The 27,757-nt window shown below is 37.5% G+C and overlaps 1 protein-coding gene and 1 long non-coding RNA gene across 28 annotated transcripts in view, besides 1 other annotated feature; one reads left to right on the forward strand and one right to left on the reverse strand.

Moving 5' to 3' along the window:
• Window positions 1-18,099, forward strand: part of LOC124902727 (uncharacterized) — an 80,292-nt gene extending 62,193 nt beyond the window's left edge. For both annotated transcript variants that reach the window (NR_189147.1, NR_189146.1), the window contains exon 4: window positions 17,927-18,099. This is a non-coding gene — a long non-coding RNA (uncharacterized LOC124902727). The remainder of the gene's footprint in view (window positions 1-17,926) is intronic.
• The window catches only part of DLG2 (discs large MAGUK scaffold protein 2), a 2,173,362-nt gene that overhangs the window by 1,327,593 nt on the left and 818,012 nt on the right, over window positions 1-27,757 (reverse strand). The window lies entirely within an intron of this gene.
• Window positions 11,640-12,141: an enhancer, noted in NCBI's record as "H3K4me1 hESC enhancer chr11:84505287-84505788 (GRCh37/hg19 assembly coordinates)". NCBI's record gives its function as "activates a minimal SCP1, AML or CMV promoter by ChIP-STARR-seq in primed H9 embryonic stem cells {active_cell/tissue: H9 hESC(primed)}" and the evidence as "EXISTENCE:reporter gene assay evidence [ECO:0000049][PMID:30033119]".

Here is a 27,757-nt window from a genome sequence, read left to right on the forward strand (position 1 = left end):
GTTTTGACTCAATCATTTGCCACCTATGAGAACTTGAATAAATCAACTCTTCTCTCTGAATCTCAGGTTTCTCACTGTTTGTGAAATATCTATTACATGGAGGAGTGGGATAGGGATGGCTCTATCATAAAAAACATATCTTCTTTACACTCTTCTTTGCAAAATTTTATAATATATGAATACACTTACAGTCCTACATGGTCCTATATAGTTATTTTGGATCTGTCATTGATCACTTTTAATTTTCCTCTTAAGAGTGTCACTCTTTTTCTCTATCCCACCAGCATCAGCGTACCTTTCTGGCAGTCCTCATCCTCACATATGAGAAACTGCAGTAGCATCGTGTAGCATCTTGCTGTTTCAACCTTTAGTCCTTCCTATGTATGAAGCACATTATTCTCAACCCACTGCTTCTTCCTATAACTCTCTTGCTTAAAATCTACCAAGACTCTCAATTACATAAGAGATAATATCTAAAATCTAACAGTCAAAGACTTAAAAAAAATCAATTGATCTCACCCTGCTTAATCAATCTTACATCCTCAGCTCTAGTAGTCTAAATTTTACTACTAAGAGGAAGCTTTCATAGGAGGAAAAATGATGTGATTTGAAGTCGTTGGCTCAGTCACTTACTAGCTATTTTCATCCTGGGTAAAACACTTATCCTATCACGGCCTTAGTTTTCTCAACACTTAAATAAAGTATTTGTTCTGGACAATTTCTAAGATCCCTTTCAGTTCTGACACTGTCTGACTCCATCACCCTGTGCCCCTTAAATGCTAAATTCATTCCTACTCTGAATCCTTGATCTTTCTGTGTTCTCTTTCTGTAGCATCCTTTCTGCCAGACTAAGCATTTTCTGTTCTCCAAGGTTCAACTTATGTACTTGCTCATCCATGAAATCTTCAGAGCTCCAAAGTTTGTGAGAATCATTTCCTTCTCTGCGGTCTCATGGCATCTAAATTTTGTACTAATCAATAAGAGTATCTTACACTGATATAACACTATAGCTTTAGTAGAGATGTTTACATACAATATTTCACTGGAGCCTCTCAAAAGATCTATAAAGGTAATTACTATTCCTACTCAAACTCAGAGAAGCCTAAAATGTCTCAACTCTAATGCAACTGATCTAGAGTCAGAATTAAAGGTTTTTGATTCCTGTTTCAGAGTTTTTCCTCCATACATGTTCAACATGTCAAATAATTATTGGTATCTGTATGTTTCACCTATATAGCTATTATTTAGCTCAGTAAACATATATGTTAAGCTCCCATCATATAAAATCTGCTTAGGTATAAGCTATGGCTAAGGGAGTTGGGAAGCAAATGGAGTTTTCTAGCATGGGTGCTTGTAATTCTTATTTTGTCTGGTAACCCTTAACAATGAGCTTATTAAAAATAAGGGTATAGGCTGGGCACAGTGGCTCACACCTATAATCCCAGCACTTTGGGAGGCTGAGGCGGGTGGATCGCCTGAGGTCAGGAGTTCAAGACCAGCCTGGCCAATATAGTGAAACCCCATCTCTACTAAAAATGCAAAAAAAAAAAAAAAAAAAAAAAAAAAAGCTTAGCTGAGCATGGTGGCAGGCACCTGTAATCCCAGCTACTCAGGAGGCTGAGGCATAATTGCTTGATCCCGGGTGGTGGAGGTTTCAGTGAGCCGAGATTGCACCATTGCATTTCAGCCTGGGCAACAAGAGCGAAACTCCACCTCAAAATAAATAAATAAATAAATAAATAAATAAATAAATAAATAAATAAATTAAACAAGAGTATAGAACATAAAATAAGAACATTGTCCGTGGAGTCAGAAATATCTGGGTCCTCTCTCATTCTTTGTATTAAGGAAAATTTCAAATACATTAAAATAAGACTGTGTACCTCCTCATTCATCTTCAATAATGATCAACTTGCAACCAACTTTATGTCATCTATACTCCTAACCACTCCCTCAGATTATTTTGAAGCAAAATCAGACATCATTTCACTTCATCTGTAAATATTTTAAGAAGATCTACATATAAAGACTCTTGCTTTTAAAAATAACTCTAGTACCAACAAAAATTCTTTAAAATCATGAAATAGTTAATGAAGATTCAACATTTCTTGGTTTTCCAATTTAAAAAAAAAGCTTGCTCAAAAAAATGATCTTATATAAATAGAGAGTAGACTGGTGGTTACTAGAGACTGGGGTGATGTGGTGGCCGTTGGGGAGATGTTGGTCAAAGTATAAAAAATTTCAGATAGGAGGAGTAAATTTCAACAGATCTCTTGTACAACATGTTGACTATAGTTAATAATACATTGTATTTTTGAAAAAAGCCAAGAGAGTTGGTGTAAAGTATTCTCATCACAGAAATGATAACTATGTGAGGTAATGCATATGTTAATTAGCTAGATTTAATCATTCTACGATGTATGTATACTTTAAAACATCGCATGGTTCACATAAATACATACAATTTTGTGTCAATTTAAAAATAAATAAATAAATGTATGATGAGAAAAAAAGTTTGTTCAGATCAGGCTGCAAAACAAGGCTATATATGGTTTGCATGTCTCTTACGTTTCTTTTAATCTACAGGATCTCCTCATTCTATCACTCTCCTCTTGCAATGTATTTGTTTAAAAATATGCTTTTTTTAAATAAAAAAAAATTCTCCTGTAGTGCTTCTGACAGTATAATTTTTTTCTGATCATATTATCTTATGTTATGGTTCCCTATATCTCCCATGAATTGGAAGTTAAATCTAGATTTGATCAAACTGAGGAGCAATATTTTACGCAAGACTCCTCATGAGTTGTTAGGTATACTTCCATTAGAAGTCACATGATGTCTAATTGTCTTTTTATGATGTTGTAACCATGGACAAATATTTTGCAGATCTAGTAATTTAAAATGGTGATATTCTATTATTCCTTCATAATTGATTAGGTACAAGACCACTATAAAGAGAAATTTCATTTCACTTATTTGGTAACCTTGAATTTGAAATTGTATAGAACCAACAAGGTAAATGTTTTATTCTTCCTATTGATTCGTTTTCAAAACAAAAAATAGGTTCCCTAGTATTTCCAAATCTAGTAATCAGGTGATTTTTAAATAATATCTTTATGAAATCATGGATCTAAACATTTTTATTATGTTTTAACCCATTATAATTATTATCTTTATTGATGCTCAGATTGCCTTATTTTGACCAGTGGAAGCTGGTAGGCTTTCGAGTCCTTTTATGATGACACTCCATATCTTGGTGGATAGGTTAATTGCTTTCTGACATAACAAAATATTTCAGTTCCATCTTGTCATTTTCCTACCTAAGACCTAGAATAAGTCTTTTTCTTGAAAATCATTTTTTTTCCCAAGAAGATCTGTTACCTTTTATTAGGAAATGGTATTTGGAAACCACACTGGAAACACTACAGATGTTCATATCTACTATGCTATCATTACTTCTAGCTCTTTTAAGTGGACAAAACTAGGAAATATTCTTAAAGATAAAATATATCATCATCATGATTCATTCTGAACTTATTCAAATTTTACTTAACATTAGTCATAGAAGAAGTTTGGTTTTTATCCCAGCTCCCCCAGTTGCCTATAGAACAAGTGATATAAACTGTAACTACCCTAAGCCCTCAATTTTGTACCTGAAAAATTAGAATAATAAAACCAACTACTCACTTGAACACTCATAAGAAGATAGTTGGTCTATCCTGACCATATGGAAAATAATGAAGTATCATAAACCACAGATATATAGAACTAACCATTTGGTTTTATTATAAGAAAACGTAGAAATTCTGAAAGCCACAAAATTATCAATTCCAAGCTAGGACATTCCAGAAGTTAATAGCTAAATACAGCTAGAAAGAACTACTAGAAACTACAGGATGACTGATCACTTTTATAACAAGCTTCTAAGATAGAGCACTGAGCTCCCTATTTCTCTGTTCCGCCTTCCGTCCACTCATGTAAACACTGGCTTCCCCCAAAAAACATCAATTCCATTGTTAGGCCTTCTTCCTGTAAGATCTGAATAAAGCTCCAATGAGCCATAACCAATCTCTTCTGAAGCATTCCACCCATTGATAAGAGCTGCCTCAATTGAATATTTCCATTGCAGCAGCAATAGGGCAGACAGTTGCAGAAAATCCTCAAAAGAACTACCATAGACACAAAGTTAACTGGCAGTAAAAATCGCTCTGTGACACCACCACCCTATGTTCAGAAAGATAGGCAAAGCTCTCCTCTTTGTCTAGACCTTCCTTTAATTAGGGTCCCGGGGGCCAGGAAAATTCTCTGAAGTAAGTCTGTGCACTGCTCCGGCTTTTGAAGAGTAATGGCTTTGGTGGGAAGAAACATTTGTAAAAATTCAGATCTAATCTAGGAACCCAAACCAATCTAATTAGAGTGTCTGTGCACTGAGATGTTCACTAATGAGACTCAAAGAACCAACACAGGAGAAACAATGACTTTTTTGCAGCAGGCATTATCAGGCTGCCTTAAATGTGACCCACATTCACTCATGCCCCAGTACCCCAGGAGTAGAGCCATGTCCTTTTTCTAGATTGACTCTTGGCAAGTGTCTCTGGTAAGTTTTCCATTAGGGGGCTTCTGTACTTTCTATTGCTTCTCCATAAGACTCCATTGTTCTCTTTTCTTCTGCTTAGTGTCTGACCTGGCGTGCTCCAGATTCCTATGGTTTGAATTCTGTCTTTTTAACTCATGTCCTACTCTAGCCAAATCCAATTACTTGTCCTGTGCCTCTGTGCCTTTGCAAATGCTGTTCCCTATGCACAGAAGGCCTTTCCTTCTCTAAATAATTAATTTATTCTTTCTAAACTCTCATAGCTCCACTACAAAGTTTTTCTGAAATCCCTCTCTCTACTCCATCTCTACTATGAGGAAGAAATAAATGCTTATTCCCTCTGTTCCACCTCTTTACCCAATATATATCTCTACCACCTCACTTAGTATGGCAATTATGCACCTATATGTGTATTTCCTCTATAATATTCTGAGCCTTGTGTCTAAAGAATATATGCCTAATTTATTTTTCTGTGTCCAATTTCTATCTGAGTTCCTGCACATCATAGTACATTCACAAATACTTGAAGGCCCTCACCACTGGAAGATAAATTGCAGAACATCCATTAAACTAGTGGTTCATACAAAATTATGTGGGAATGTGAAGAAGGGAGAAACTGACCTGGCACAGTGGCTCATGCCTGTAATCCCAGCACTTTGGGAGGCCGAGACAGGTGGATCACTTGAGGCTAGGAGTTCAAGACCAGCCTGGCCAATATGGTGAAACCCTGTCTCTACTTACAAAAAAAAAAAAATTAGCTGGGTGTGATGGTGCATGCCTGTAGTCCCAGTTACTTGGGAGACTGAGGCATAAGAATCAGTTGAACCAGGGAGGTAGAGGTTGAATGAGCTGAGACTGAGCCACTGCATTCCAGCCTGGGTGACAGAGTGTGAATATGTCTCAAAAAAAAAAAAAAAAAAAAAAAAAGAAGAAGAAGAAACCACATCAATCTCCACAAGACACATCCAGATAAAGGACAAAGTAGCCAGCAGGTAAAAACAAAAATAGTAAAACAAAATCAGTCACAAATAATGGGGGTCTTTCCCCATTACACTTCTCACTTTCTCTGCTGAGAGAGGGTCAGAAAGCAAGAGCCTCCTATGTAAGTACTACGACCTATATTCAACATGAGGCACATTACTTGGAACACAACAGGTGTTCAAAAACTACTTACTGAATAAATAAAGTAGGTATGCGCTACTTTCAGAAATGTCTCTGTCACTGCGACCTAATAATATCAATCAGGGTAATAAAATGCATGCCTGTGGTCCTGAGTCATTCTCCACATACATTCATACCTTTGAGTGCATTTTCTCTTTCATTTATATTACTTTTCTTAGTATTCCAATGTATAATGTAGTTATAATACATTTTATAACGTATATACAATGTTTCCCTCTACTACTTGTGTATATTTATTATAAATATAGATTTATAGGTGTATGTCATATACTAAATAATACAGTTAAAATTATTTGATTACTTATCTCTCCTACTACAGTGGGACCTCCATGAGAAAGGGAAGATTGTCATTATTTCGTCCAAACATTTTGCTCTTCAATCACCTAGCAGAAACCTAGAAACAGTAGCATCACATAATAATGTATGTTGACTCAATAAACAAATGTATCAAAGTTAGCAGATTTGATCCTCCAGGGTTTCCTCATATTATGGTCCTTTTCCAGCCTCATCACTAAATGATATCATGGCGACTCAGGGAAGCTCTGTTTTCCTCACTAAGACCAGAACAGAAGATGGTGCTATCAAATAGAGTTTTTAAATCCAGAATGAATTCATCCCTATGCCTTGTCTACAGAATCACTCAGAAAATAATGCAAGGAAGTGAAACAAAGAGAGACATGCAAAAGAAATAATCTTGGCACAGCACCTTGCAAATCAATTTTCTATGCCCTTGTTTCTGAACTTTCCTGTAAGGTGGAGGCTTAGAAACTGCAGTGTTTTCATGATGATTGGATAGCATGTTCTGCCACTCACTGCCTTTCCTGGAGTTTCTAACAGGACTGCTACTATTTATCCTCCAGTTTCACCCAATCTGCAGTCTTTCTCATAATGGCTGCAGTGATCCTTCCCTAAAGTTATGTACAGCACTCAAAAACCTTCCTTAAGACTCACTTACTGTTTATCAAACTTTGTTAAATAGCATTAAGACAATGATTGAGTAAACATTTTAGGACAAAGCTTTATTTTTTTTCCTAATTTTTATTTTTTGTGGGTATATAGTAGGCACATATATTTATGGGGTACATGAGATACTTTAATGTAGTTATGCAATACTTTATAATCACATCACGGTAAATGAAGTATCTATCCCCTCAAGCCTTTATCCCTTGTGTTACAAACAATCGAATTATACTTTTTAGTTATTTTTAAATGTGCAATTAAATTATTATTGACTACAGTCACCTTGCTGTGCTATCAAATACCATCTTTTATTCATTCTTTCTAACTTTTCTATTTTTTCTATTTTTTTAACCATTAACCATCTCTACATCCCCCCATTAACCCTCACTACCCTTCCCAGTCTCTGGTAACTATCCTTCTAATCTCAATTGAATTTAAACAGTAAGTTCAATTGTTTTAATTTTTAGCTCCCACAAAAAAGTGAGACCATGCTAAGGTTTTCTTTCTGTGCCTGGCCTATTTCACTTAATATAATGACCTCCAATTCTATCCATGTTATTTGAAGTGTCAGGATCTCATTCCTTTTTATAGTTGAACAGTACTCCATTGTGTATATGTACCACATTTTCTTTATCAATTGATCTGTTCATGAACACTTAGGCTACTCCCAAACCTTGGCTATTGTGAAGAGTGCTGCAGTAAACATGGAAGTGCAGATATCTTTTCGATATTCCTGTTTCCTTTCTTTTCAGTATATAGCGAGCAGTACGATTGCTGGATTATATGGTAGCTCTATATTTAGTTTTTTTTAGGAACTCTAAAATGTTCTCCAAAGAGGTTGTACTAATTTACATTCCCACTAACAATGTAGGAGAGTTCTCTTTTCCACTGATCCTCTCCAGCATTTGTTATTGCCTGCCTTTTGGATAAAAGCCATTTTAACTGGGGTGAGATGATATCTCATTGTAGTTTTGATTTGCATTTCTCTGATGATCAATGATGTTGAGCACCTTTTCATATACCTCTTTACCATTTGTATGTTTTCTTTTAAGAAATGTCTATTCAAATCTTTTGCCCATTTTTAATCAAATTATTGAATGTTTTCTATAGAGTTGTTTGAGCTCCTTATATATTCAGGTTATTAATATCTTGTTAGATGTGTAGTTTGCAAATATTTTCTCCCATTCTGTGGGTTTTCTCTTCACTTTGTTGATTGCTTCCTTTGCTGTTGAGAAGCTTTTTAACTTGATGTGATTGCATTTGTCCATTTTTGCTTTGGTTGCCTGTGCTTGTAAGATATTAGTCAAGACATCTTTGCACAGATCAATGTCCTGGAGGGTTTCCCTTATGTTTCCTTGTAGTAGTTGCAAAGACTGAGGTCTTAGATTTAAGCCTCTAATCCATTTTGATTTGATTTTTGTATACGATGAGAGACAGTAGTCTAGTTTTATTCTTTTGCATATGGATATCCAGTTTTCCTGGCACCATTCATTGAAAAGACTGTCCTTCCCCCAGTGTATGTTCTTGGCACCTTTGTTGAAAATGACTTCACTGTAGGTGTATGGATTTATTTCTTTGTTCTCTATTCTGTTCTATTGGTCTATGTATTAGTCTGTTCTTACACTGCTATAAAGAACTGCCTGAGACTGGGTAACTTATAAGTGACTCACAGTTCCGCATGACTGGGGAGGCCTCAGGAAACTTACAGTCATGGTGGAAGGGGAAGCAGGCATGTCTTATGTGGTGGCAGGTGAGATCGAGTATGTGAAGGAGGAACTGTCAAACACTTACAAAACCATCAGGTCTCATGAGAACTCACTCACTATCCGGATAACAGCATGGGGAAAACTGCCCCCATAAACCAATCACCTGTCACCCAGTTCCCTCCCTCAACACCAGCTGAAGATTACAATTTGAGATAAGATTTGGCTGAGGACCCAGAGCCAAACAGTATCAGTCTATGCATCTGCTTTTATGGCAGTACCGTGCTATTGTGGTTACTATAACTCTGTAGTACAATTTGAAGTCAGGTAATGTGATTCCTCCAGTTTTGTTCTTTTGCTCAGAATAGTTTTGGCTATTCAGGTCTTTTGTGATTTCATATAAATTTTAGGATTTTTTTCTATTTATGTGAAGAATATCATTGCTATTTTGATAGGGATTGCATTGAATCTGTAGATTGCTTTGGCTGGTATGGACATTTTAACAACATTGATTCTTCCAATCCATGAACATGGAATATCTTTTTATGTTTTTGTGTTCTCTTAAATTTCTTTCATCAGTGTTTTATACTTTTCATTGTGGAGATCTTTTGCTTCTTTGACTAATTCCTAGATATTTAATTTTATTTATGGCTACTACAAATGGGATTACTTTTAAATATCTTTTTCTGATTGTTCAGTGTTGCCATATAGAAATGCTACCGATTTTTGTATGTTGATTTTGTATTCTTCAATTTTATTGAATTTATCAGTTCCGATAGCTCTTTCGGTGGAGTCATTTGGTTTTTCCCCATGTAAGATTATATCATCTACAAACAAGGATAATTTGGTATCTGCTTTTCCAACTTGAATGCCTTTTATATCTTTCTATTGTCTGATTGCTGTAGCTAAGGAGTTCCAGTACTATGCTGAATAACAGTGATGAAAGTGAGCATCCTTATCATGTTGCAGATCTTAGAGGAAAGGCTTTCAGTTTTTCCCCATTCATTATGATACTAGCTTTGTGTCTGACATATATGACTTTTATTATGTTGTAGTATGTTCCTTCTATACCCAGTTTTTTGAGGGTTTTTATCATGAAGAGATGTTGAATTTTATCAAATGCTTTTTAGCATCAATTGAAAAGATCATGTGGTTTTTGTCCTTCATTCTGTTTATATGGTGTATCACAATGATTGATTTGTATATGTTGAAACGTCCTTGTGTCACTGGGATAAATCCCACTTGGTCATCATGAATGATATTCTTAACATATTGCTTAATTTGGTTTGCTAGTATTTTGCTGAGTATTTTTGCATCAATATTCATCAGGAATATTAGTGTACAGTTTTATTGATGTGTCTGTCTGATTTTTGTATGAGGTTAATACTGGCCGTATAGAATGAAATTGGAAGTATTCCTTTCTCTTCTTTTTTTTTGGAATACTTTGAGTAGAATTGGTATTACTTCTTTAAATCTTGGTAGAATTAAGTAGTGAAACCATTGGGTACCAGGTTTTTCTTTATGGGAGACTTTTAATTATGAATTTTATCTTGTTACTTGTCATTGCTCTGTTCAGGTTTTGGATTTCTTAATAGTTCAATATTGGTAGGTTCTATGTGTCTAGGAATGTATACATTGCCTCTAGATTTACCAGTTTATTGACATATAGTTGCTCATGGTAGCCACTAATGATCTTTTGAATTTTGGCAATATCAGTTTTAATGTTTTCTTTTCATCTCTGATTTTATTTATTTGGGTCTTCTCTCTTTTGCTCTTAGTCTGGATAAAGGTTTGTTAATTGCATTTATCTTTTCAAAAACATCTTTAATTTCATTTATCTTTTGCATTGTTTTCTTTGTTTCAATTTCATTTATTTGTGCTTGTATCTTTATTATTACTTTTCTTTTACTAATTTTGGGTTTGGTCTGCTCTTGCTATTCTAGTTCTTGAAGGTGTATCATTAAATAATTTGAAGTTTTTCTCTTTTTTTGAGGTAGGCACTTATAGCTATAAATTTCCCACTTAGTACTGCTTTCACTGTATCCCATAGGTTTTGGTATGTTGTGTTTCCATTATCATTTCTTTCAAAAAAATTTTCGGTTTCCTTCTAAATGTCTTCATTCATACACTGATCATTCAGAAGCACATTGTTTAATTTCCATGTGTTGTAATGTTTCAAAATTCGTCCTTTGATTTCTAGTTTGTTTTCATTGTAATCAGAGAAGATGAATACTATTATTTCAATTTTTTAAATGTTTTAAGGCTTGTTTTGTGACCTAACATATGGTCTTTGAGAATTATCTGTGCGCTGAGGAAAATAATGTGTATTTTTGGCCACTGGATGAAATGTTTTGTAAATATCTATTAGGTCCATTTGTCCTAAAGTGCAGGTTAAGTCTGATGTCTCTTTGTTGATTTTCTTTCTGGGAGATCTGTCCAATGTTGACAGTGGAGTGTTGAAGTCTCCAGCTATTATTGTACTGAGGTCTATCTCTTTATTTAGCTCTGATGAATATTTGCTTTACATATCTGGGTGCTCAAGCATTGGCTGCATATATATTCACAATTGTCATATCCTCTTGCTGTACGGACCCCTTTATCATTATATAATTACCTTCCTTGTTTCTCCTTACAGTTTTTGTCTTGAAGTCTATTTTGTCTGATATTAGTATAGCTACTACTGCTCTTTTTTTGGTTTCCATTAGCATGGAATATCTTTTTCTATTTTTATTCTATGTGTTTCTTTAGAAAGGAAGTGTGTTTCTTATAGGGAACAGATAAATGAGTCTTGCTTTTTATGCATTCAGCCATTCTATGTCTTTTCATTGGAAAGCTTAGTTCATTTATCTTTGATGTTATTACTGATGAGCAAGATCTTACTCCTGCTATTTTGTTATTTGTTTTTGGGTTGTTTTGTGTTCTTCTCTTCTTTCTTTCCTTCATTTCTGCCTTCCTTGTAGTGAAAGTGATTTTCTCTGGTGGTATGATTTAATTTCTAATTTGTGTGTTTATGTATCTGTTGTATGTTTTTTGATGTGAAGTTACCATGAGGCTTGCAAGTACTATCTTATAACCCATTCGTATGATAATTTATCACTGATTACATAAACAAACTAATAAGGAAAAAGAAAACTATTTAGAAAGAATAAGACCTACTATTGATAGCCCAGCAAGGTGAATATAGTCAAGAATAACTTCATTGCACATTTTAAAATGATTAAAAGAGTGTAACGGGATTGTAACACAAAGGATAAATGTTTGAGAGAATCTGATGGCAGTGGTGGCCTGGCTGGAGCAGCTACTGCCATAACGCCAACTGCAATAGGGGAGGTACAGCTGGGGCTGTGTACTCCATGGAGCCAGTGGGAGCTGGGAACAGGCAGAAGACCCAACTCCTTCCGAGTTGGCAGAGTAGGAGCCTCATGCTCCCTGGGTGCAGCTGCAGCCACCCAGCAATGGTTCAACACCTGGGCATCCCTGTGCTCTTGGGGGCAGGGAGCAGGCAGAAGCCTCACCTCCCAGGATGCAGCTGCAGCCACCCAGGGGTGGTTATGGGCCCAGGTATCTCTGCACTGTTGGGTGTCCAGGAAGCCCCTCTGCCCTTGCAGGCTCCGAAGTGCCTGCTCCCGCTCCCTGGTCTCTCCCCACTCCTGGCACCCACTTTGATTTCAGAGGAAAATTGAGGCCAAGCCCAGGTGCTGTCACAACCCAACTGGGTGTGCACATGCTCAGGGCAGCACTGACATGCCAGCCCCTGCTGACTCAGCCCCCTCTGGACTTTGGCTGCTGACCAGCACAGAAAGGATGCCGAGGTGGGGCTGAGGGCAGCTCGGCAAGAGCCTGCAGGCACCGCTTGGCATGAACAGCCTGTGTGCCGTGGGCACCATCGATAGACAGCAGGTTGATGGCAGCAGGAGGCAGATAAGCTCCTGGGCAGAAAGGAGCAGGTCCCTAGTGAAGCCCTACCATCAGGCCTGGGACAGCCTGAAGCCTGGGGACCAGGCTACCAGTTCCATGGACAAGAGTGAAAACACATGGTGCTTTTTCCCACCCCACCCATCACTGCCTGTGGACCAATCAGCATGCACTTCCTCCACTCTTTAGCCCATAAAAACCCCAGACTTCGCCGGACTTGGGCAGATGTCAGGATGACCTGCCTGTGGAGAGGAGCTCCCCACTGTGGGTCTCCTCTTTGCTTAGAGCTGAACACTCAGGACACTCTGCCTGCAGAGAGGAGCTTCCCAAGGTGAGTCTCTTCTCTGCTGGGAGCTGAACAGATGCCAGGACAACCTACCTGCGGACAGGAGCTACCCACTGTGGGTCCAATCTCTGCTGAAAGCTGAACACTTGACACGACACCTTGTCTGTGGAGGGGAGCTACCCACTGTGGGTTTCCTCCCTGCTGAGAGCTGGACACTCATCAGGATGACCTGCCTGCAGAGAGGAGCTACCCACTGCAGGTCTCCTCTGAGCTGTTCTGTCACTCAGTAAAGCACCTCTTCACCTTGATCATCCTCCGCTTGTCTGTGTACCTAGACAGGGGACAAGAACTCAGGACCCACCAAATTGTGGAGCTGAAAGAGCTGTAACACAAACAGGGCTGAAACACATCCTTTGCCTGCCATGTTGTGGACAATGAGAAGAAGAGAAGAGAGAAGGAGAGAAGAGCTCCAGCCCTTTGGGGAGCCTGGATGTAGACGCTTCCGGAGCCAGGGCTGCCAAACCCTCTTTGAGGCTCTATGGTTTCTGGCATCTCCAAGCTTCCAAGTGCCACCATGTTCCCCGGTGCCCACCGTGAAAGCCACTTGTGGTACACCTGGTTCAACCACAGGCTCGCAGGAAGCCAGCACGCACGCTGACACCTGGAGCTGCCCTCCCCACCACAGCTGGTGTGCCTAGCTTTGCGCAGTGCCTGGACCCCATGCTCACTTGCTCACACACCCCTTGCCATTCTGTGCCTGGCTCAACCTGGCTCAAGTGCAGCCTGCCAGGCCAGATGGGCAGAACAAACCCAGTGGGCCCAAGCAAAACTTGGGCAAAGGTACCACTAGTCAAAGAGGTTTCCAGCTGGAAAAACGATACCCCAAGTATCTCGTGACAGATGGATACCCTATTCTCCAAGATGTGACTATTATTCATTGTATGCCTGTATCAAAACATCTCTTGAATTCCATAAATATATACACTACTATGTACCAACAAAAATTAAAAATAAATTTAAAAACTAATAAAAAATGGATCATTTTAACTTTGTCTCCCTGCTTTTTATCTTTTTGCTGTTTCTGTTTATGTCTTACTGTATTGTCTATGTCTTGAAAAGTTGCAGCTATTATTTTTTATTAGTTCATTGTTTCATCTTTCTACTTAAGATATTAGTAGTTTGCATGCCACAGTTGCAGTGTTATAATATTCTGTGTTTTTCTGTGTGCTTACTATTACCAGTGAGTTTTGTACTTTTGGAAGATTTCTTACTGCTCATTAACATCCGTTTCCTTCAGGTTGAAGAACTCCCTTTAGCATTTCTTGTAAGACAGATCTGGTGTTAATGAAATCCCTCAGCTTTTGTTTGTCTGGGAAGGTCTTTATTTCTCCTTCATGCTTGAAAGATATTTTTGCGGATAAACTATTCTAGGGTAATTTTTTTCCCCCTGCAGCACTTTAAATATGTCATGCCACTCTCTCCCGGCCTATAAGGTTCCCATTGAAAAGTATGTTACCAGACATATTGGAGCTCCTTTGTATGTTATTTGTGTCTTTTCTTTTGTTGTTTTTATGATTTTTTATTTTTTATTATATTTTATTTATTTATTTATTTATTTAGAGACAGAGTTTAGCTCTTGTTGCCCAGGCTGGAGTGCAATGGTGCAATTTCGGCTCACTGCAACCTCTGCCTCCTGGGTTCAAGCGATTCTCCTACCTCAGCCTCCTGAGTAGCTGGGATTACAGGATGCATCACCACACCTGGCTAATTTTTTCTATTTTTAGTAGAGACGGGGTTTCTCCATGTTGGTCAGGCTGGTCTAGCACTCCTGACCTCAGGTGATCCGCCTGCCTCAGCCTCCTAAAGTGCTGGGATTACAGGCGTGAGCCACCATGCCCGGCCTATGATTTTTTATTTATCCTTGACTTTTGGTAGTTTAATTTTTAAATGTCTTGAGGTAGTCTTCTTTGGGTTAAATCTGCTTGGTATTCTGTAACCTTCTAGGACTTGAATGTTTATATCTTTCTCTAGATTTGGGAAGTTCTCTGTTACTATCTCTTTGAATACACTTTCTACCCCAAACTCTCTATCTTCCTCCAATTTAAGGCTAATAATACTTAGATTTACCCTTATGAGGGTATTTCTACATCTTAGGCATGCTTCATTCTTTTTTGTATGTTTGTTTCCTCTGACTGTGAATTTTCAAATAGCCTGTCTTCAAGCTCACGATTTCTTTCTTCTTTTTGATCAATTCTGCTGTTGAGATGCTGTGATGCATTCTTTAGTATGTCAGTTGAATTTTTCAGCTCCAGAATTTCTGCTTGCTTCTTTTTAATTATTCAGTCTCTGTTAAGTTTGTCTAATAGGATTGTGAATTCCTTCTCCGTATTTTCTTGAATTAGATTGAGCTTCCTCAAAGAAGCTATTTTGGATTGTCTGAAAGGTTACATATTTTTGTCACTCTGGGTTTAGTCACTGGTGTTTTGTTCAAGTCATGTTTTCCTGGAGGTTTTGATGTTTATGGATGTTTGTCATTGTCTGGGCATTGAAGAGCTCGGGATTTCTTGTATTCTTCACAATTTTATGCTTGTTTGTACCTGTCTTTCTTGGGAAGTCTTTCCAAGTATTCAAAGAGACTTGGGCCCCAATCTCAGTAATGCTGTGCTTCCTGGAGACTCACAGAGGTACCACTATGGTGGTCTTGGATAAAATTCAGAAGAATTCTCTGGATTACCAGGCAGATACTCTTGCTCTCTTGCTCTCTTCATTTTCTCCCAAACAGAGTCTCTCTCTTTGCGCTGAGCCACCTGGAGCTGGGGGTAGGGTAACACAAGCACCACTATAGCCATGACGACTGGAACTGCCCTGGGTCAGATCTGAAGAGAATAGAGCACTGTACCTTGTCCAAGACCACTGTAACCACTGCTTGGCTACCACCTGTGTTCATATGAGGTCCTAAGGCTCTAGAATCAGCAGATGGCAAAGCCATTCAGGTTTGTGTTCTTCCCTTCAGTGTGACAAGTTGCTCTAGGCTCAAGAAGTTTCAGTGATGCTATCTGAAAGCCAGGGACTGAAGTAAAAAAAACCATCAAAATTTTCCTGGTATTCTATTCTACTGTCACTAAGCTGGCCCTCAAACAACACAAAGTCCTTCCCCCTCTTTCCTCTCTTTTCCACAGGCAAAGGAGGCTCTCTCCATGATCATCACCACCACCACTGGCCCATGGGGCATTCTGGCAGGCCACTGCCAACATTTTCTTAGACTCAGGGGCTCTTCAGTCAGCTTGTGGAGGATGCTGTCAGATCTGAGACTCACCCTTCAGGACAGAAGGCTCTCCTCTGGCCCAGGGAATGTCCAGAAATGCTGTCCAAGAGCCTTGGCCTGGACTCAGGAACCCCAATAGCCTGCTTGGTGTTCTATCCTACTGTAGCCAAGCTGGTCCCTGAGGCCAGCACATCTCAGTCCAACCTAAGGCCCAAAGCATACTACCTGGCTATTACTGTTGGTTATTCAGGGCCCAAGGGCACTTTAGCCATCAGGTGACATATACTGCCAGGACTACATCCTTCCCTTCAAGGCAGGTGGGTTCCCTTCTGGCCCAGAATGTGTCTAGAAATGTTGTCTGGGAGCTCGGGCCTGGTATGGGGGCTAGCTGCCTGTCACCCCATCCTAGTGTGCCTAAGCTGGTATCCAAGATGCAAGACAACGTCCTCTTTACTCTTCTCCTCTTCTCAAGCAGAGGAAAGGAGTCACTTTCATTGCTAGAAGCTGCACTGCCTGGAGGCGAGGATGGCACAAGTACTCCCTGAGCCATCCCATCTGGTGTCTCACTAGGTCACACATTGCCCCAGTCCACTGGCTCTAGGCCCACAACGGCCTCAAGGCTTGCCTAAGAATTACAGTCCTTGTGTCCCAGACTGCCTTTCAAGTTCATTTATGATCCCAGAGCACTTTATCTCATGGTGGCGAGCCTTGCTAAGAAATTCAAATTCTAAATGCTGGGAAGGGCTCTTCCTCTCTTGCTGTTCTGGTCCAGATGCTTTCTCTGTGGGACTGGGCAGCACTGAGTTCAATGCAAATCCCTCCAGCTGCTGTGCTCTTCCTCCCCCAAGTGCACAGATTCTCTCTTGGCACCATGCAGCTGCTGCCGGAGGTTGGAAGAGGGGTGGAAGAGGGGTGTCTTTCCCAGCCTCTTCAGTGCCTCTTTCAGTAATATAAAATTAAAACCAGGTATTGTGATTGCTCACCTGATTTTTTATTCTTATGAAGGTGCATTTTTGTATGTAGACAGCTGTTAAAATTTGGTGTTCCTCTTACGAGGACAATCAGTGGAGGCTTCTTTTCTGCTGTCTTTCTCCACACTCAAGGCTTTATTTGTAATCCTCTATCAATTTCTTACGTCTAGAGGAAAGATAATTTTGAGACTCTCTTCTTCTTCATAATTTTTTTTTAAACTTCTCAATTTTACTTGTCAAACGGCACTGTAAAGTGTTAAATCCAAAGGCGTCCAGGAAATATTCAAGAGGTAGTTATTTCCTGAGTAGCCTTCTCTGTTCTATTCCCACCCTCCTGCTTTCTAACTTTGGTCTCTAAGTGTTTTCATTTGTTTTTCTATTTTAAAGCAGTAACAGTAATAAATAATGTCCTGGAACCAGTGTCTAGCTGAATATTAATAATAATACTTTCCATTTGCATATGCTTTATGAGAAGCTCTTTCTCACATCTTGTCTGATTCTCAAAATACCTCTATAGAATAAATGGGGCATCAATAAAAGAGCCAAGTAATACCAAACCATCTAGTCTGATGGGGTGAATGCATTATGGATATCAAAGGATCAGGTTTTACCCTAAGTTGAGTGGAGACTAAAATTTTAAAAATCTGTATGTACAAAATTGAACAAGAGAGTAAGACCCAATACACAGCAACATAAAAGAGCTAGAGAAATTTTAGAAGAGAACACAGCTGACTCAGGCATTGCTCTCCCTTTCTCTCCATTCTTTACATATATTTCCTATAAATATAAATTTATAGGTGTTTGTATATCATTTTAGTTTTAAAATACACAGCATGCATGTAAAAATAATTTTAAAGATAGTGTTTCAAAATGCAGCATACAGAGCCTCTGAAATTTTTAATTAGCTGGTTGTACAGTTTAACATTTTCTAGCTGGAAATTGCATGGTATAATTAAGAGGATTTAAAGCATAATTTAACAAAATATTACTCTATACTTGACATTTTTTAAAATGACAAATTAAAATAGAAATCATGCCCTTGTTTTGCAGATAAGGATGCTGAAGCTAAAAACAATGTCCAAGGCCAAATAACTGACAAGAAGAAGGCCAAGGCATCTAGAAACCATGTCTTCTGATTCACAGTTGATCATATTTTTCTATCACCTTTGATAAGGCATAAAATATTATTTTGATGAGTAAATAAAAAGACTTTGGACACCTGCTGTTTGTCTAATTTATGGTTTCCTTCTCTTTTCTCTAGTTGATATGACTATATTAAGCCAAGAAAAAAGTTAGATTTGACAAACGGATTTTAACAATTTTATGCACAGAATATTTTTTAAAGTTATTTTTACGAGTCTACAGTTTTACAAGTTTAATGACATGTTCAGAGGGACTAGAAAATTTACAAATAACATGATTTATAAAATCCATGATTTCCCAGGAATATTTTTGCCACCACATGGGGGTGTAGTGTTCTTAATATGTACTTTGCAGGAATTCTGAGCATCTCAGCTGAGCAAGCCTGGGGAGCAGCAGGGAGAACTGGATTTTATGTGCAAGTTTGTCTTATCTGCACCAAGCATGAGGCCAGGAATAGGAGTCGATCTTAATTCATCCTCCAAGTGTCTCAAATATAAAATTGGCTTTGTGATATTAATTTGTTTAAATTGTTCAATCTCAGGAAAAACTTCACAGTATGTATGAGTTACCCACATACAGCAGCAATTTCAACAAAAGCAGCCATATTAGTATGTGCCATGCTATATTCTCCAGTCCAAGAAGGTTATTAGAAAATTGTTTAATTGAGGCCAGGCGCCATGACTCACGCCTGTATTCCTAGCACTTTGAGGCCGAGGCGGGCGGATCACGAGGTCAGGAGATCAAGACCATCCTGGCTAACACTGTGAAACCCCGTCTCTACTAAAAAAATACGAAAAACTAGCCGGGTGTGGTGGCGGGCGCCTGTAGTCCCAGCTACGCAGGAGGCTGAGGCAGGAGAATGGCGTGAAGGGCGCTTGCAGTGAGCGGAGATGCACCACTGCACTCCACCCTGGGAGACAGAGTGAGACTCCGTCTAAAAAATAATTGCTTAATTGAGAAAAAGTTGCTTTTGTCGCTGGAATTACTGTGAGATAATTGACCGTGATGGGAGCTGTGTCCCCCAGATGAAAGCAAATCATGGGAGCCAGGGTCAATCATATTAATGTCTGCAGTGAAAAGAGGTGTTGTGATCATCATAAGACATAACCATAAAATACTTAAAGTCTTAAATGGCCAAAGCCTTTAAACTACATTATAATGATTACAGATCCAATAAAGTTTAATTAAAACAAAACTACTACATTGAACATCCATAATGATTAGAAAGGTTTCTAATTGGGGACAAATTTGGTATTGAGAACACATCAAAAGAATTTCCCACGTTCTTTGTTACATCTGTTTGTGCTGGTTTTCTGCTTCTGCATCTGTACAGGGCACATTTCTAAAAAACTGACCAGTTTAAAAATTACTTTTTAAGTTTATAATGCTCATTTTAGGTAAGTCATTAACTCTTTCCATAATTTAGGTGATCATTTAATGTTTTAGGGATTGGGAAGCACAGCTTACTTTTAGTTAAAAAAAAAAAGCAAAAAAAAAAAAGCATGAGCTTTGGAATCAGGCAGCCTGGGGATTCTAGGCTAGAATTCTAGGTTTCTCATGTACTAATTGTGCAATTTAACTGCATAATCTCTCTGTGTCCATAGGGTCCTCAAAGAAAATAATAGGAAATTATGGATAGGAAATAGGAATAATAGGAAAGATGGAATTCCAAAGATAATGTAATAAAGGGAGGTATGATAGGTTAGGGGAATTAACAAGGAATAATGAAGCACTCCGGAACCCAGCAGCAGCAGCAGCAGCAGCAGCAGCAGCAAGAAACCTTTACTATCCCTAAGGATTAGGGCAAGAGAGAAGAAATAGGGAGTTACAGTCTGATGAGAAGAGGAGCCTTGGAAGAAGTGTTGACTGACAGGAGCTACGGTTATGGAGTGACCAACCCCAGTCACTACTATGGCAGAAAATAAATACCCTGGTATTTTTCTTCTCTTCTCTTCTGATCTCTTGCAGGAATCACCCTTTGGCCAAACCCAATTAGACAACCAGAAACAAGTCAGCAAAAAAAAAAAAAAAAACTCTGGGTGGTGCAGTCAATAGTGGTAAGCCCTCTAGGCACTGAAAAAAGGCCAGAGATGAGCAGAGGAATTGTTCTGTGTTAGGGGGGATGAAAGTAGAAAAAAGCAATTTACGCTCTTTGTTTCTTTTTCCTCATCTTTTCTTTTCTTTCTTTCTTTTATGAGGCAGAGCCTAGCTGTGTCACCAGGCTGGAGTACAGAGGCGCGATCTCGGCTCACTGCAACCTCCACCTCCCGGGTTCAAGCGATTCTCCTCCCTCAGCCACCTAAGTAGCTGGGACAACAGGCACGTACCACCACACCTGGCTAATTTTTTGTATTTTTGGTAGAGACGGGTTTCACAGTGTTAGCCAGGATTGCCTCAATCTCCTGACCCTCGTGATCTGCCCGCCTCGGCCTCCCAAAGTTCTGTGTTTACTGGCATAAGCCACAGCGCCCGGCCCTTTTTCCTTGTTTCTAAGTGGAGATATGAATCAACTCTTGTCCAACAAAATTGTAAAGATAAAATGAAATATACATAAAGAATATAATGCAGTGTAGAATATATTGTAGATGCTCAATAAATAGCTAGTGCTGATCTTATTTTTAACAGTAACCAATAATTGTGAAGTTGAATGTATATTCTCTATTAAAACCCAACAACCATCCAATCAATTTATCACTTAGGGAGCTATTCTGTGTCTTCTTTAATGAAAGCTGTTTTGTTTTCTTCTTTACAAAAATAGGAGACTATGAATAGAGAGATTAAACACTAGAAAAATTAATTCTCTAATACTGTCAATTATATGTTTACTTGGACTTTGATATGAGGGCCCTGAAAACGCAGTAAGTTATATATTTCTGATAAGCACAATCCTCCACAAAGAGCACATGGGCAGGCAGTGATTTAGACTCAGGGTTCTAACATTTTACACCTTACACTACATGACTACCCTATGAAATATCTGAAATGAAACTATGATTCCAATAGAAAGCAAAAGCTTGCCTTTTTGAGGATATAAATGTGCCTTTAGGTTTTACATTTAAAGTTACGAGTAATCATCAAAAGCATTGATGTTTGACAAATGACTATGTTGCACAGGTCTGCCTCGACTAGCCCATAAAGGAGTCCTTACTACCTCAAGCATTCTCTGCCACATCTTAAGTTTTTATTGTCCTTAAGGCATGTTTCTCTATCTGAAATGTTGCTTTCTGACTTCTTCATGAGAACAGAGACCTAGGCTATCCTGTTCTGCTTTATGTCTAGTATTTCCTAGAACAGAGCCTGATAGATAACTAAATGATCACACAGGTACAGAAAAGCATGCATATAAAAGTGGTAGATGTGAGAATTAAATGACATGATATACTCAAACTACTTTTAAAAATGCATTTTACTATGGTAGCAATTATTATTGTTGTTTGCATTATTATTGCTACTATTAAGAATGATGGATACAGTGGTTCACACACAGTAAATATTTTGGTGATGACAAATATTATTATTTTTCAAATTGACTAGTCTTTGCCATACATGCCTGCACTTAGGACAAGACTGGCAGCCTTTGCATTCAGACTGTGACTACTGCCAACTTTATGTTTACAGTGACTTTGCCAGCCAGAATTTGTAGCTTGGAATGATATCTCTCAAATATTAGAGGCAATAATGTCTCAGATTCCAGAACAAAATGCCAAGTGCTAAATGCCAAGTGCTAAACAAATCAGAAAAGGCAAAAGGAAAACCCACGTACTTCCACTTCCAAGAACATGAAGTAGAAGAGATTTTCTCAATTCTTCCTACTATGTACAAATAAAACCCCTGGGCATTATATATAAAACAAGCATGAGAATACTCTAAAAGTTGGAAGGAAGCAGTTAAAACAACTAGTGACCCTGGGACCCAAGGAACAACATAGCAGTAACTTCTCTAGGTTTTCTTTTGCTTCAAATATTCCAGGGTTGAAGCTGAACAAGCCCAAAACTCAGAAACATCAACAGAGGCACACAAGAACAGCCCTAACTAAAGCCTGTCTTCTTTAGCCAAAGGTCCAGGAAAAGGCAGAAAGAACATTTTTACATTATAACTGTCCTCCTCCAGAAAAACACTGCACAACAATCTGTGACCCTAACCCCACCCAAAAAGACCAAATGAGAGCCTGGAGTTGTACCCTTGTCAGCCTGTAAGGAGGTTCCCCATCCCCCTTGCTCAGACAGTATCAGAAGGAGCCTAGTAGGGAGCTGAAACTTTCATAGACACTAGGCAGTAGTAAAGCCATCCCTCCAACATTGTAACCGTGGAGAAAAATTAGGGAGCTTAGATCTCCACTCCCACCTGATGGCAACAATATCCATCCCTTTCCTGGCTAGGGTGGTATCAGAAGAGGCCTTCTGGAGAGTCAGAACTTTCATACCTGCCCAAGAGTAAAAGTATTGCACCTTCCCACCTTTGCCCCTCATTGTGTCAGTAGAGGCCACATGCACAGTAGCAGTAAAAGTGTATTACTACCCCTTCCAGCCACAGAGCTAACAATGGAGGCTTAGTGGGAAACGGGAACTCCCACTTCCACTCAGCAGTATTGAGGAGCCATGCCCCCTTGAGTGTCAACAGAGACAGCATGGGAAACTGGGAATTTTATCCCCATTTGACAGTGATAAGGCAGTATCCACTCCTCCCTTTCTCCTGCCCCAAAATGTACAGAATTACATAGAAAATCAGTCATATTACCAAGAACCAAAAAGACCTAAAGTAGAGAAAAAAAAATAGAGAATCAATAAATGCTGATATCGTTTAGATCTGCGTCTCCACCCAAATCTCATGTTCAACTGTAATCTCCAGTGTTGAAGGAGGGGCCTGGTGGGAGGTGAGTGGATCATGGGAGTGGTTTCTTATGAATGACTTAGCACCATCTCTTTGGTGCTGTTCTCATGATAAATTCCTCAAGAGATCGGGTTGGTTGTTTTAAAGTGTGTAGCCTCCCCCCATCTCTGTCTTCCTCCTGCTCCAGCAATATGAATTAACTGGCTCCTCCTTTGCCTGTCACAGTGATTGTAATTACTGGCTCCAACTTTGCCTTTCATCATGATTGAGGCCTCCTCAGAAGCCAAGCAGATGCTAGCATCATGCTTCATATACAGCCTGCAGAACCATGAGACATTCAAACATTTTTTTTTAAATAAATTACCAAGTCTCAGGTATTTCTTTACAGCAGTGTGAGAATGAACTAATACAAATGCCAATACCAAGGTGAAAGTTAATGTCATAAAAATGCTTCAAAGAGCAATTTTGAACATACTTGAAACAAATGGAAACATAGAAAGTCTCTGCAAAGAAAGAAAGTTTCAATAAAAATAAAAGGTATGCAAAAACCAAACTGGAATTTTAGAAATGAAAAACACGATAAATGAAATACCATACAAAACTCCATGGATGGGTTCTGTAAATGAATAAAAGAGACAAAAGAAACAATCAGTGAACTGGAAGATAAAGCAATATGAATTAAAACAATATATTGACCTAAAAAATCACAAGAGCCTCAGGGATCTGTAGCATTATTTAAAAAATCTAGTATTTGTGTCATCAGGGTTCCAGAATGAAAGGAGAAAGAGTGGAGAATGAAAAAAGCACTCAAAGAAAACATGGCTGAAAATGCTTTGAAATAACCAAACAAATCATAACAAACAGATTCAAGAAGCTGAGCAAAACCCAAATAGGATAAATGGAAAGAAATCTGTGCAGGCAATGATACATTATAGTCAATTTTATGAAAACTAAAGATAAAAAATTCATGAAAGCAGCAAGAGAGAAATGACATTTTACCTATAGGGAAAAATCACTTTGAATGACAGCAGATTTCTCATCAGAAAACATTTTAGAGGTTATATGGAAGTGATACAATATTTTCGACTGCTGAAAGAAAAGAACTGTCAACCAAGAATACTATACTCAGTGAAAATATTCTTCAGGAATTAAAAGGAATTTAAGACATTCTCAGATAAAGGAAAACTAAGAGAATTTGTCACCAGAGGACCTATGATAAAATGGCTTCTAGAGAAAGATTTCTAAACAGCAAGAAAATAAGGAAAGAAGAATGCTTCGAACATCAAAAAATAATGATAAGAAAAAGCCATAGTAAACCTTCTGGGCAAATACAGTAGATTTTCCTTCTTCTCTTGGATTTCCTACATTATATTTGATGGTAGAAACTTAAATAGCAACAGTCTAATGTAGATGAAATATTTTTTAAAAAATATATAGGGAAGACTAAGGGAATATAAATGAAAATAAGGTTTCTATGCTTCACTCAAACTGGTAGAAAGACAACACAGTACACTGTCATATATAATGTGATATTAATACTTAGCCCAACACCTAAGAGGAGGAATTAAACAAAAAGGTGGACCCAAACATACTCTAGGAAAATAAAACGGGATTGCAAAAATTGTTCAAGTAACCCACTGGAAGGCAAAATAAAAAAGCAGAGAAATAAAAAACAGAGAGAACAAATAGAAAATTAGAAATAAAACAGAAGGCCAGGTGTGGTGGCTCACATCTGTAATCCCAGCACTTTGGGAGACCAAGGCAGGCAGATCACCTGAGGTCAGGACTTTGAGACCAGCCTGGCTAACGTGGTGAAACCTCGTCTCTACCAAAAATACAAAAATTAGTCAGGCATGGTGGTGGGTGCCTGTAATCCCAGCTACTCAGGAGACTGAGGCAGGAGAATCGCTTGAACCCGGGAGGCAGATGTTGCAGTGAGCCGAGATTGTGCCATTGCACTCCAGCCTGGGCGACAAGAGTGAAACTCCATCTCAAAAAAACAAAAAACAAAAAAGCAAAAAAAGAATAAAACAAAAGATTTAAGCCTTAACATATTAATAATTACCTTAAATGTAAATGATCTAACTTTATCAATTCACAGTCACGGATTATCAGAATGGGTTAAAAAAAATAAGCCAACTCTATGCTGCCTAGAAGAAATTCACTTTCAAATGTAATCGAGGCAGGTTGAAAGTGAAAAATAGGAAAGGTGTATCAGGTAAATATCAATATTTTTAAAGTAGAATTATCTATTGTAATACCAGATAAAGTATACTTCAGAGCAAAGAAAGTTACCAGATCAGAAAGAGACATTATTTAAAAATAATAGAATCAATCCACAAAGAAGACAGCAGTCCTTTACATGTATGTACAAATAAGAGTTGTAAAATATATGAAGCAAAAGCAATAGAACTAAAAGGACAAATAGACAAACACATAATTATAATTGGAGACTTCAACACTCCTTTATTGACAATTCACAAAATACCTACGCCAAAAATCAGAATGCATATAGAATAATAACACCATCAGCCATCAGAATCCAATTGACATTTATAGAATTCTCCATAAAAAACTAGAAGAATACATATTTTTTCTCAAGTGCCCATAGAACATTTACAATGCATTGTATCCAGAGCCACAATGCAAATCTCAATAAATTTAAAATAACTTAAATCATAGAGAGTGTGTTATCTGACCAGAAAAAAGCAAAATTAAAGATAACACAAAGAAAAATCTCCAAGTGCTTGGAAACTAAAAACCATACTACTAAATAATACATGTGTCAAGAGAAAGTCTCAAGGCAAATTAAAAAATACACATTTCAGTGACTGAAAATCAGAATACAATATATCAACATTTATGGGACACAGTTAAAGTCACCCTAAAGTGAAATTGAAGGCATTAAATGTATATATTCGAAAAGATAAAAGTCTCAAATAATTAGTCTAAGCTCCCACCTAGGAAATAGTAAAATAAAACCAACGCGAACAGAAGGAAAGAAATAACAAAGAGCAGAAACAAATGTAATTTAAATCAGATAATCAAGAGATAAAATCAATGAAACAAAGAATTTGTTGTTTAATAAGATCAATAAAATTAACAAACCTCTAGCAAGACTGATAAAGAAAAGAAATAGTATAAATTACAAATATCAGAAATGAAATAATTACTAAAGACCCTGGAGACATCCAGAGGACAAGAAGTGAGTACTACAAACAGTTCTATACACATAAATTTGACAACTTAGATAAAATGTACCAATTACCCAAAAAACACAAACTACCACAAGCAACCCAATATGTGATAGATAATATAAATAGCTCCATTACCTTTAAAAGACTTGACTTTATTATTTTAAAAATTCCCAAACAAAAAAAGAAATCTTTAGGCTCAGATGATTTTACTGGAGAACTCTACAAACATTTAAAAATAATTAAGATCAATTTGATACAATCTTTTACAGAAAACAGAAGAGGAGAGAACACATTCCTATTCCTTTCTAATATTATTAAAATACTTCAGACAAAAGACAAAAGAAGAAAACTACAGGTCAATATCCCTCATGAATATGGACCCACAAATCCCTTAAAATTAGCAAATAAATTTCGACAATATATAAAATAGTGGATACCATGATCAAGTGGAGGTCATCCAAGCATGCAAGACTGCTTCAGTATTTGAAAATCAATCCGTGTACTCAACAATATAAACAGGCTAAAGAAGAGCAACCACATATTCATTTCAATCTATGCAGAAAATACAGTTAATAAATTTCAACACACATTGATAAAAAGTCTTAAAAACTGGGAATAGAAGGAAACTTTCTCAACTCAATAAAGTGCATCTATAAAAAATCTGTACCTAACATTAGATTTAAGGGTGTAAGATGAATTATTTTGTACTATGATTAGGAGCAAGACAAGGATATCTTTCCCACCACTCTTATTTACCATAATGCTTTAAATTCTTGCCATAAAGAAAAAAAAAATAAAAGTCATAAGAAAGAAAGAAATAAGACTGTTCCTATTTGCATATGACATGATCATCTACAAAAAAAGAAAAGAAATCCTAATGAACCTACAAAGAAAAAAATCTTCTAGAACCAATAAATAAGTTCAGTAGGGTAACACTATAAAAGCATACATAATCAGTTGTGTTTCTACATATTATCAATCAACATGTGGACACCCAAATTAAAAATATAATACCTTTTACAATTGCTCAAAAATACTTATTCTAAATAAATACTGTATATCAAAAACTATAAAATAATGATAAAATAAACCAAACAATTTTATTCTGAAGTGTATATGAAAATACAAAAGAACTAGAACACTTAAAACAATTTAAGAATGAAGTGAGAGAAATCATTCCACCTGATTTCAACACTTACAGAGCTACAGTAATTAAAACTATGTGGGGTCCAAGGCAAAATGGACACATAGATCAGTGGAACAGAAAAGACATGCCCAATTGGCTTTTGACAAGGGTATAAAAGTCACTGAAAGAGAAATAATCTTTTCAACAAATAATGCTGGAGCAATAAACACCAATAAGCAAAAATAGAAATAAAATAAAATCTCAACCTAAATCTTATGATATAAAATTTAACTTAAAATGGATCATTGATTTCATAAAAAGAAAAAACTGATAAACTGGATTTAATCAAAATTGAAAACACTGCACTGGAAAAATCATATTAAGAAGATGGAAATACAAACTACAGCATAGGAGAAAATATTTGTAAAGCACATATCCAAAAAAGATTTGGTGTTGAGAATATATAAAGAACTGTCAAAACTCAACAAAGTAAAATAATCCAATTGGAAATTAGGTGAAGATAGGAAGAGATATTTCACCAGAGGAAATACAGATTGCAACATAAGCATGTGAAAAGATGTTCAA

This window comes from Homo sapiens, chromosome 11 (genome assembly GCF_000001405.40).
Source record: "Homo sapiens chromosome 11, GRCh38.p14 Primary Assembly".
NCBI classification, from domain to species: Eukaryota; Metazoa; Chordata; class Mammalia; order Primates; family Hominidae; genus Homo; species Homo sapiens.